The sequence below is a fragment of the Homo sapiens genome, chromosome 8 (assembly GCF_000001405.40).
Source record: "Homo sapiens chromosome 8, GRCh38.p14 Primary Assembly".
NCBI classification, from domain to species: domain Eukaryota; kingdom Metazoa; phylum Chordata; class Mammalia; order Primates; family Hominidae; genus Homo; species Homo sapiens.
Window position 1 is genome coordinate 53,448,473 of NC_000008.11, and position 12,309 is coordinate 53,460,781.

The 12,309-nt window shown below is 35.9% G+C and overlaps 1 annotated feature.

Annotated features, from left to right (window-relative positions):
* Window positions 11,281-11,476: a silencer, noted in NCBI's record as "fragment chr8:54372313-54372508 (GRCh37/hg19 assembly coordinates)". NCBI's record gives its function as "represses an EF-1alpha promoter that drives an FKBP-Casp9 reporter gene in an ReSE screen in K562 erythroleukemia cells {active_cell/tissue: K562}" and the evidence as "EXISTENCE:reporter gene assay evidence [ECO:0000049][PMID:32094911]".

Sequence of the window (12,309 nt, forward strand, 5' to 3'; positions counted from 1 at the left end):
GGTCTAATATCCCAAGTATATAAAGAACTCCTACAACTCAGCAAGATAAAAAGACAACCTAAATTCAGAACTGAGTAAAGGGCTTGAAGACTTCTATCCAAAGAAGATATACAAATGGCCAATAAGTACATGTAAAGATGCTCAACAACATTAATCATTAGTAAAATTCAAATTAAAACCATAACTTGATACCACTTCACAACAACTAGGGTGACTATAATTTGTGTTAAATGGAAAATAATAGTAAGGATGTGGAGAAATTGAAACACTTGTAAATTGCTGATGCTGGAAATGTAACATGGTACAGCTGTTTTAGAAAACAGTTTGAAAGTTCTTTTAAAAATTAAATGCAGAATTACTGTATGGCCCAGAAATTCCAATCCTAAGTATACACCCCAAAAAATTGAAAACAGAGACTCAAACAGATGTGTGTACATCCATGTTCACAGCAGCATTATTTACAATGGTCAAAAGAGAGAAACAACTCAACTATACATCAATAGGTAATGGATAAACATACTGCGATATATACATACAATGGAATATTATTCAGCCATAAAGTGAATGATGTGCTGCCATATGCTGCAATGTGGATGAACCTTGAAAACATTATGTGAAAAAATTCAGACACAAAAGATCACATATTATAGCATTACATTTCTATGAAATATCAAAAATAGGCAAATCCATAAAGACAGAAAGCTGATTGGTAGTAGCCAGTAGCTGGGAGGAGAGAGAAATCTGGGGAGTCACTGCCTAATGAGCATAACATTTTCTTTGGGGATGATGAAAATTATTTTGAACTAGATAGTGGTGGTGGTTGCACAGGATTATGAATGCAGTAAATGTCATTGAATTGTTTACTTTAAAATGCATAATTTTATATTATATGAATTTCAGCTTTATTGAGTTTTTAAAATGTCTAGAACAATGACAGTTTTCAAAATAGAAGATTTGTTGTGGGGGGAACATTTTGAAAGCAATACTTTTTTTAACCTATGGCAGACATTTTCTCTTTTTTCACTATCTTTTTCTGCCTTGTTTGTAAAATATTAGATATGTTTTTTGCAAATATTTCTCCAAGTTTTTGTCTTATGTTCCTTAATTATACCTTTAGAAAGAATTAAAGTTTTTAATTTGATGAGGTTTAATGTATTACTTTGTTTTTGTTGTTGTATTTATGAAATATATGTCAAACACAAAATTACTTATATACTTTTAAATGTTTTCTTCTAGAAGTTTTATAGAATTAACTTTTACTTTTAAGTCTGTAATTCATTTTAGTTAATTTTGTGTATGGATTGAAATAAGGTTATAAGATAAATTTTTTGCATATAGATGTCCAATTGTAGTGTATCATTTGTTTAAAATAATTACCTCAGCAACTTTGCTAAAACTCAATTGATTATAAATATGTGAGTTTGTTTCTGTGTTCTCTATTCTGACTCACTGATCTTTATGTCTGCCCTTACATTTATGCCTACACACTCTTTTTCCTTAGCTTTATAGTAGGTTTTGAAATTAGGTCACATGAGAACTTCAACTTTGTTCTTTTATTCAAAATTTTTGGGTATTCTGGATCATTTACATTTCCAAATATGTTTGGGGATTAGGTTTCAAATTCTACAAAGGCATGCTAAGATTTTGACAGAGATTGCATTGACTCTTTAGGTAAATTTGCAAAGAATTATCATCTTTTACATATTAAGTCTTTTAACCCATGGCATGGACAATTTCTTCATTTATACAGGTATTCTTCAATTTTTATCAACAATGTTTCATTGTTTTCAGTGTACAAGTCTTACGTTTCCTTGTTTAAATTTTTTTCTAAGTATTTCACTTTTTAAAATGCTATTGTGAATACAATTGTCTTCTTAATTTTAATGTTCAGATTATTTTTTGCTAATACTATGAATACAACTGATTTTGCCTACTGATCTTGTATCCTGCATCCTAGGTAAATTTGGTTGGTTTTTTTTTTTTTTTATGTAATGGGTTTTGTTGCTGTTATTATAAATTCCTTTGGATTTTCTCCACACAAGATGATGTTGTCTGTGAAGAATGAGTTACTGATTCCTTTTCAACCTAGAAATTCCCTTTTTGTCCTTACTGTACTGGCTAAAACCTCCAATACAAAGTTAATAAATGTGGTTGATGCTGACATCATTTTCTTGCTCCCCAGTCTTAGAAGAAAGCCTTTATTCTGCAACATTTCCTACCATCTTAGTTGTAGGCTTTTTGTAGCTACATTGTCAGGCATCTCTCTTCTGTTTCTAGTTCACTGAGATTTTTTTATCATAAATAGATATTCAATTATATACAGTTTTTCTGCATCAATTGAAATAATCGTTGGTTTTTAAATGATTAATTTATGTTTAATTTTTAGTTTAAGTTTAAATTAATATTTAGTTGGTGTTTGTTTTGTTTTAAATTATTTTTCTTAACTGATTTTTTGAATGTAAAGTCAACTTTCCATTCTCAGAACAAACTCCACTTTGTTGTGGTATATAATCATCTTAGTCTGCTTTGTGTTGCTATAACAGAATATCACAAACAGTAATATATAAAGAAAAAATACTTCCCACAGTTCTGGAGGTGGGGAAGTCCAATATCAAGATTTCAGCATCTGGCTAGGGCCTTTGTGCTATGTCATCCCATAGGAGAAATCAGAAGGACAAGTGAGGTTAAGAGCAAGGGAGGGTTGAACTCATTTTTATAACAACCCACTCCCACAATAACTAACCCACTCCTATGATAACAGCAATCCATGCATGGGGGCAGAGCATTCATAGACTAATCACCTCTTAACAGTCCCACTCTTAATACCATTACAGTGGCAATTCAATTTCAACATGAGTTTTCAAGGGGAAAGTCAAACCATAGCAATAATCTTTTTTTAATGTTGCTGAATTTGGTTTGCTAATAAAACAGAATCCAGAGTGGCTTCAATATACAAAATAAAATATCCAGTTTTCAGCCAAAACCTGAGGCATGCAAAGAAATGGAAATATGACCATACTCAGGGAAAACCAGCAGCCAATAGAAAATTACTTTGAATTGGCCCAGATGTTTGATTTGGCAAAGAGAGTCTTCAAAGCAACTGTTATTAAAATGTTTAAAGAATGAAAAATGAAACAGAATGATAATAACCCAATAACAGCAATTCTTAATGAAGAGCTAAACATTATAAAAGAGAACCAAATACATATTCTAAGCTAAAAAGTTCAAAACCAAAATGAAAATTCACTAGTTGAGCTCAACAACAGATTTGAGATATCAGAATACACTGAAATAAAAGTGGGCAGTGGAATATCTAATTTGAAAAATGGGAAGGAAAAAGGCTGAAGAATAATGAACAGAGACTCGGAGACCTATGGATAACATCAAATTCATCAATATATACGTAATTGGTGTCCCGGGAGGAGAGGAGGGACAGTAAGGAGCAGAAAAGTACTTGAAGAATTAAGAATTGAAAGTACCCAAAATTAATGAGAAACATTAACAGAAAAATCTAAGAAGCTCAACAAACCAGAAGCAAGATATACACAAACACAAATAGAATCACTCCTAATCACATCCAATGAAGCTGGTGAAAGTCCAAAGAAAATTCTGACAGTAAGTAATTACATATAAGGTAAATACAATATGATTAACAGTTGACTTCTTGTCAGAAACAGTGGGACCAAAAGGCAGTGAAATGACATATTCAAAGTGTGGAAAGAATGTCAATAAGTAATTCCAGATCCAGTACAACTATTTTTCAAAATAAAGGTGAAATAAAGGAATCCGAAGATAAACAAAAAATGAGAGAATCCATTGCAAGTAGACCTTCCATACAAAATATATTAAAGTAAGTCCTTCAGACAGCAAGAAAATGTTACTAGACAGGAACTTGGCTGCAGTTTACCACCAGAAATCCTAAGTATATGGGTAAATATAAAATTATTCGTGCTTCTGTGAGTGTAAGTGTGTGTGTGTGTGTGTGTGTGTGTGTGTGTGTGTCTGCATGCCCACTTTTGATCAATTCCCGATGCCCTGAGAATATTGTTTTTCACAGTATTGTCCAGTTGATCTCCATATTACCAAATTCACTGGTCAATGATCAGCCTTCGTCTGATTTGACCTGTCAGCAGTGTTTAATACAGTTAATCACTCTGTCCTTGGAACACTTTCTTTGCCTTGCATTCAGTACATGACTATTTCTTGGTTCTCAGCCTATCTCACAGCCACCCCATCTCAGCTTCCTTTGTTGAGTTGCTCTCTTCTCTTTCAGATCCTGAGAGGTAAAATACCCCAGAATTCTGACTTTTCTCTGGTCTGTTGATAATCATTCCTTAGAGTAATAAATCTATCTATTAATATATGTTGACAACACCCATTCTTATATCTTCAGTCCTAAACACTCCTCTTAAGCAAATTAACTAAGGCACACAATATATATTTTAAAAATTCTTTATTTTTCTTCCAAAATTTTTTTATCCCATATCTTTGCCAAATTGGCATAATCTCCATCCTTATAATTACTCATAACTAAATCCTTGACCCATCTTCTTAGACAATATATCTAAATCTGATTTGTAGCCACCACTTACACTGCTTCCAACCTGATCCAAGCCACAGTCATATCTTACCTTCGCCATTGCAACAATCTACCAGTTGGCCTTCTCAGTTTTAATTCCTGCCCTGTGTAGTCTATTCTTCAGCAGCAAGAGTGGTTTTCTTCTATGTAAATCAAATCACATCACTCTTGCTTAAAATTAGACTCAAAGTAAAAACCAAAATCTTTAGAAAAACCTGTGGGTCCCTGCAAAACCTGCACCAACTACACCCACTCATATCCTCCTCCCTGATTTTATGTGCTATCGTGCCTTCCTTGATCTTTTGATTCCAGATCCACTGATCTTTCCTTTTCTCAACAAAGCATGCTCAAGATATACATACGACTCATTTCATTCTGATCTCTACTAAAATCCCACCTCATCAGGGAGGATTCTCTGTATCTTAGAAAGCATACTCTACTTTTGTCGCTCTCTACTCCTTTGAGATTTCTTCACTTTTTTTAAATTAGCATAAACCACCATCAATAATCTACTTATCTGTTTGTTTATTGTATATATCAAACACACACACACACACACACACACACACACACACACACAAATGTAAACCCCAACAGAGCTGGGATTTTTTTTGTTTTATTTTCGGACTTGTCCCAAGTAACTAGATAAGACCCTAGCTCAAGGTAAACTCTCAATAGATATTTGTTGAATAAATAAAGAAAGCCAATTTTTCCCCAAGTATTTACTAAGTGTCTATTAGGTACCAAGCACTGTCCTAAGTATAATAATATGTCCTATAATTTTATAAACAATCCTAAAAATTTTTTAAATTAAATATAATTATCCTTATTTTACTGATGAGATACCAAAAGATTAAGGACTTACTTAAGGTTACACAGCATGTTAGTGATAGAATTGGATTCTTTTTGTTCTTTTTAATTGGTATTTTCAGTAATTGTGTTATGTCTATTACACCAGTTCTCAAGAATACTGGGTACATTTTGTAACTACAGAAGAATCCATGGAGATAAGATTGGAATTAAGACACAGTGAGAACCATTTTAAGTAGCTTGTAACATCTAATTTTATAAACTTTTATCAAATTTCAATGACCAGTACTCAAACTATATTATTAAACTTCTGCAGAATGTTGTCACTCATAAGTAGGAGTTGAACATTGAGAATGTGTGGACACAGAGAGGGGAACAACACATGGCAGGGCCTGTTGGGTTATGGGGGGATGAGGGGAGGGAACGTAGAGGATGGGTCAATAGGTGCCGAAAACCACCATGGCACATGTATACCTACGTAACAAAGCTGCACGTTCTGCACATGTATCCAATTTTATTTTTTCATAAGAAATAAAGAAGAAAAAATAAAAATAAACTCCTGCAGAAAATGCTTCTTTCTGATGTTCAGGGCTAGTACAGCAGCTTTTCCACCAGAAAGACATGCTCACAATCAGTCTAAACACTTGGGATTTCCAAACAGTTCTGTCACATGTATTGGAATATTTCTGGAGAATTATTTAAAGCAAAGTTATTGGTGTAAAAACATTCATATGTGTCTGCAGATATTCACATAATTTCTTCCAACTGTGCATTTTCTAATTGAGAAATAAATATGGTATATGATGAATGGCAGATATGATCTGCTTATTCCCTTTGGTTCTTCATTTGGCAGGTCAATTTTCAGAGTGAACAAACAGAAAACACTTCTCTAAAGCAAGACTTTCTTCTTACTCTGCATCCAAGCCTTAAATAACTCAATTCTAAAGAATATTTTTGCCAAGGCTAATCCTCTTGTGAGCTTAGCTTAGAAGTCGTTCCATAAAAGGAATAGTGAGTGTATAACAGAAGGTTAAGCACTGTTGAGAATGGTCAGTTTTGCTTCATTTCAGGAAAACCAGGTATAGAAACCCAGTATGGAAAACAAAGTTCTTATTTGGCCAGATTGGAATACTCTGACCAAAAAAAAACAATTTTTGATGGGGTTGTTTTTTTCTTGTAAATTTGTTTAAGTTCTTTGTAGATTCTGGATATTAGTTCTCTGTCAGACGGATAGATTGCAAAAATTTTCCTGTATTCTGTAGGTTGCCTTTTCACTCTGTTGATAGTTTGTTTTGCTGTGCAGAAGCTCTTTAGTTTAATTAGATCCCATTTGTCAGTTTTGGCTTTTGTTGCCATTGCTTTTGGTGTTTTAGTCATGAATTCTTTGCCCATGCCTATGTCCTGAATGGTATTGCCTAGGTTTTCTTTTAGGGTTTTTAAATTTTAGGTATTACATTTAAGTCTTTAAGTCATCTTGAGTTAATTTTTGTATAAGGTGTAAGGAAAGGGTCCAGTTTCAGTTTTCTGCACATGGCTAGCCAGTTTTCCCAACACCATTTATTAAATAAGGAATCCTTTCCCCATTGCTTATTTTTGTCAGGTTTGTCAAAGATCAGATGGTTGTAGATGTGTGGCATTATTTCTGAGGCCTCTGTCCTGTTCCATTTGTCTGCATATCTGTTTTGGTACCAGTACCATGCTGTTTTGGTTACTGTAGCCTTGTAGTATAGTTTGAAGTCAGGTAGCGTGAGGCCTCCAGCTTTGTTCTTTTTGCTTAGAATTGTCTTGGCTATACAGGCTCTTTTTTTTTTTTTGTCCCATATGAAATTTAAAGTAGTTTTTTCTAATTCTGTGAAGAAAGTCAATGGTAGTTTGATGGGGATAGCATTGAATCTATAAATTACTTTGGCCAATGTGGCCACTTTCATGATATTGATTCTTCCTATCCATGAGCATAGAATGTTTTTCCATTTCTTTGTGTCCTCTCTTATTTCCTTGAGCAGTGGTTAGTAGTTCTCCTTGAAGAGGTCCTTCACATCCCTTGTAAGTTGGATTCCTAGGTATTTTATTCTCTTTGTAGCAATTGTTACTGGGAGTTCACTCATGATTTGGCTCTCTGTTTGTCTATTATTGGTGTATAGGAATGCTTGTAATTTTTACACATTGATTTTGTGTCCTGAGACTGCTGAAGTTGCTTATCAGCTTTAGGAGATTTGGGGCTGAGGCAATGGGGTTTTCTAAATATACAATCATGTCATCTGCATACCAAGACAATTTGACTTCCTCTCTTCCTATTTGAATACCCTTGATTTCTTTCTCTTGCATGATTACCCTGGCCAGAACTTCCAATACTATGTTGAATAGGAGTAGTGAGAGGGGGCATCCTTGTCTTGTGCTGATTTTCAAAGGGAATGTTTCCAGCTTTTGCCTATTCAGTATGATATTGGCTGTGGGTTTGCCATAAATCATTGTTGTTATTTTGAGATACATTCCATCAATACCTAGTTTATTGAGAGTTTTTAACATGAAGGGGTGTTGATTTTATCAAAGGTTTTGGCTGGTAGGCCATTAATTACTGTCTCAATTTCAGAACTTGTTATTGGTATATTCATGGATTTGACTTCTTTCTGGTTTCGTCCTGGGAGGGTGTATGTGTCCTGGAATTTATCCATCTCTTCTACATTTTCTAGTTTATTTGCATACAGGTGTTTATAGTATTCCCTGATAGTAGTTTGTGTTTCTTTGGGACCAGTGGTGATCTTCCCTTTATAATTTTTTATTGTGTCTCTTTGATTCCTCTCTCTTTTCTTCTATATTAGTCTGGCTAGTAGTCTATTTTGTTAATCTTTTCAAAAAATCACCTCCTGGATTCATTAATTTTTGAAGGGTTTTTCATGTCTCTATCTCCTTCAGTTCTGCTCTGATCTCAGTTATTTCTTGTCTTCTGTTAGCTTTTGAATTTGTTTGCTCTTGCTTCTCTAGTTCTTTTAATTCCGATGTTAGGGTGTTGATTTTAGATCATTCTCACTTTCTCCTGTGGGCAATTAGTGCTATAAATTTTCCTTTAAACACAGCTAAATTCTGGTACGTTGTGTCTCTGTTCTCATTGGTTTCAAGGAACTTATTTATTTCTGCCTTAATTTCGTTATTTACCCAGTAGTCATTCAGGAGTAGGTTGTTCAGTTTCCATGTAGTTGTGCAATTTTGACTGAGTTTCTTAATCCTGAGTTCTAATTTGATTGGACTGTGATCCGAGCGACTGTGCAGCCAACAAACATGAAAAAAAAAAAAACTCATCATCACTGGTCATTAGAGAAATGCAAATCAAAACCACAATGAGATACCATCTCACACCAGTTAGAATGGTGATCATTAAAAAGTAAGGAAACAACAGATGCTGGAGAGGATGTGGAGAAATAGGAATGCTTTTACACTGTTGTTGGGAATGTATATTAGTTCTTAACCATTGTGGAAAACAGTGTGGTGATTCCTCAAGGATCTAGAACCAGAAATACCATTTGACCCAGCCATCCCATTCCTGGGTATACACCCAAAGATTATAAATCATTCTGCTATAAAGACACATGCACATGTATGTTTATTGCAGCATTGTTCACAATAGCAAAGACTTGGAACCAACCCAAATGCCCATCAATGATAGACTGGATAAAGAAAATGTGGCACATATACACCATGGAATACTATGCAGCCATAAAAAAGGATGAGTTAATGTCCTTTGCAGGGACATGGATGAAGCTGGGAACCATAATTCTCAGCAAACTCACACAAGAACAGAAAACCAAACACCTCGTGTTCTCACTCATAAGTGGAAGTTAACAATGAGAATACATGGACACAGGGAGGGGAACATCACACATTGGGGACTCTCGGGGGGTTGGGGGGCTGGGAGAGGGACAGCATTAGGAGAAATACCTAATGTAGTTGATGGGTTGATGGGTGTAGCAAACCACCATGACACGTGTATACCTATGTAGCAAACCTGCACGTTCTGCACATGTATCCCAGTACTTAAAGTGTAAAAAAAAAAAAGAAGAAGAAGTAGTTTAGGAAGAAGGTAATGAATTAAAATTAGGAAAGAGGTAATCGTCAAACCGTACACAGACTTGCAAGAACCAAACATTTCTACTTCTATTTCAGTGTGCAACTGCAAAGAGTCTGGGTGGGGTGGGGGAAGCAACCCTGTAAATGAAAAGAGAAAAGTGTGACATTTGCTTAACCAGAAGTGGCTTAAATTGGGAAGATTAAAGTTTAAAGAACATTTTGTTTAATCTCATTATAATGAAGTCAAGGAAAGAAAGATAAAGATTAAGGATAAGCTTCAATCTCTCGTTATTAAAGATATAGTTGTGTTCATTTTATTTTGATATATGATAAAAGTAATTTCAACTAAATTTGTATTGCTTACCAATTGATTAGAATTGGTTTGGATTTCCCAGATTTTATTTCATGAGCTCATTTTTCTTTTGCTGAGTAAGTTGTGCTTTTTGTAGACACTAAAATAGATAATTATCTTGCATGAATTATAACAAGTTATATTATGTAACAGCTAAAGATGAAACACAATTGAAATAAAACTAGTCCATGACTAAATATGGATCAAAATATTTCTGAAGAAAAAAGCAAGACAAAAAGTTATAGGAAGACTAAGGACTGAAATTCTACTTGGAACATATATTAACACAACTTTTTGCCCCAACTTTTTTATTAAAATGTAATAGAAAATACTTGCTAGTAAAAGAAACAAATGTCAAATTTTGTTCTTAAGTTGACTTCAGTCCTACCTGTTTTGGAGTTTTTCTTCCACCAAGATAGTCTTTTTCTGGAAAAAACATAGAATAATCTCATTTAGTTTTCTATCTCTAGTCCTTCATTCAAAGAAATCCTGCACTGTTGTGTGTAGAAATATGGTACAGGAATATTTTAAACAAAATTAGAATGAGTAGTGTAGTATGAAACATATTTAGCATTTTTCCCTTGTTTCTGTCATGGAACTCCTAAAACCCTTGGAATTTCCAGGGTGATAGGAGTGTCTTTTGTTATTCATAAGGAGCCAATTTTGATCTGAGTTTATGCTAAGAAAGCATTTTGGGGTGGGGCTTCTAGATAGCCATGGTATAGGGCTGGTCACCAGAAAGACTAGAGGATTGGGTTAGAGGATTGGAACTTTCAGTTTTACCCACTGACCTCTGGGAAAAGAGATAGGGGATGAACATTAAGCTCTATTAAACTCTATTTAAAAACTCTTGAACAACAAGATTTGATGAGCTGTTGGGTTGCTGAACATGTGGAGGTGCTAGGAGGGTGATGTACCTAGAAAGGACCTGGAAGCTCTGTGCCCCTTCTCTGTGTACCTTGCCCTATTTCCTCTTCCATTTGTTCACTTGTATCATTTGTAATATTCTTTATAACAAATCAGTACACATAAGTAAGTGTTTCTTTGAGTTCTGTGAGCTGTCCTAGTGAGAGGTGAAGCTGGCTGGGCTTCTGGGTGAGGTAGGGACTTGGAGAACTTTTCTGTCTAGCTAAAGGATTGTAAACGCACCAATCAGCACTCTGTAAAAATGCACCAATCAGTGCTCTGTGTCTAGCTAAAGGTTTGTAAACACACCAATCAGCACTCTGTAAAAACACACCAATCAGCATTCTGTAAAATGGACCAATCAGTGCTCTGTAAAATGGACCAATCAGCAGGACGTGGTTGGGGCCAAACAAGGGAATAAAAGCTGAACACCTGAGCAAGCAGTGGCAACCTGCTTGGGTCCCCTTCCATGCTGTGGAAGCTTTGTTCTTTCACTCTTCACAATAAAACTTGCTGCTGCTCACTCTTTGGGTCCACACTATCTTTAAGAGCTGTAACACTCACTGTGAAGGTCTGCAGCTTCACTCCTGAAGCCAGAGAGACCACAAACCCACTGGGAGGAACAAACAACTCCAGACGCACCACCTTTAAGAGCTGTAACACTCACTGTGAAGGTCTGCAACTTCACTCCTGAAGTCAAGTGAGACCATGAATCCACTGGAAGGAAGAAACCCTGGACACATCTGAACATCTGAAGGAACAAACTCTGGACACACCACGTTTAAGAACTGTAACACACAACACGAGGGTCTGTGGCTTCATTCTTGAAGTCAGCGAGTCCAAGGACCCACCAGAAGGAACCAATTCTGCACACATTTTGGCAACCACGAAGGGACTATCACCTATCACCAAGTGGTGAGTACCATTGGACCCCTTTCATTTGCTACCCTGTCCTATTTTTCCTTAGAATTTGGGGGTTAAATACCGGGTGACTGTTGGCCAGTTAAAAGCGACTAGCATGGCCACCAGTCTAAAGACACTGGTGTCAGGCTTTCTGGGAAAGGGCTCTCTAACAACCCCCGACTCTTTGGAGTTGGGAGTGTTGGTTTGCCTGGAACCAGCTTCCGCTTTCCCCGTACTTCTGGGCTGAGCCGAGAGTCAACAGAGAGGCAAGCCATACAGTTCAGGGGTCCCGACAACAAGTTGGTTGACCCTGCAGCTATGAGCAGAACTCTCAAAGTCATGTCGCCCAAGTGAGACTCGCCCATCTATCCTATCTATCCTGACTCTTGCCTCCTGGGTCCTAATGCCTGTCAGACAAACTTCCTCTTGCCTCTCTTCTCTGAGGCTACTCCTGCTTCTAAAAACCACTCCCTGTCTCTGGTGCTTTTCTAGTTTCTCCTATAAGAATGATTTCTAGTTTAAACCCCAGGACTCTGTTACCTTCTTTAGGTACCCAGCCTCACCAATCAGAAAGACATAATTTTTGCCAAAAACCCCATTGTAGGGGGGACTATCTGGAATTTTAGGATCCCTCCTCAGACAAGCAAACCTAACCAAAAGCTATTCCTGAAGGTAGGATATGGGGAGCATCAGCAAT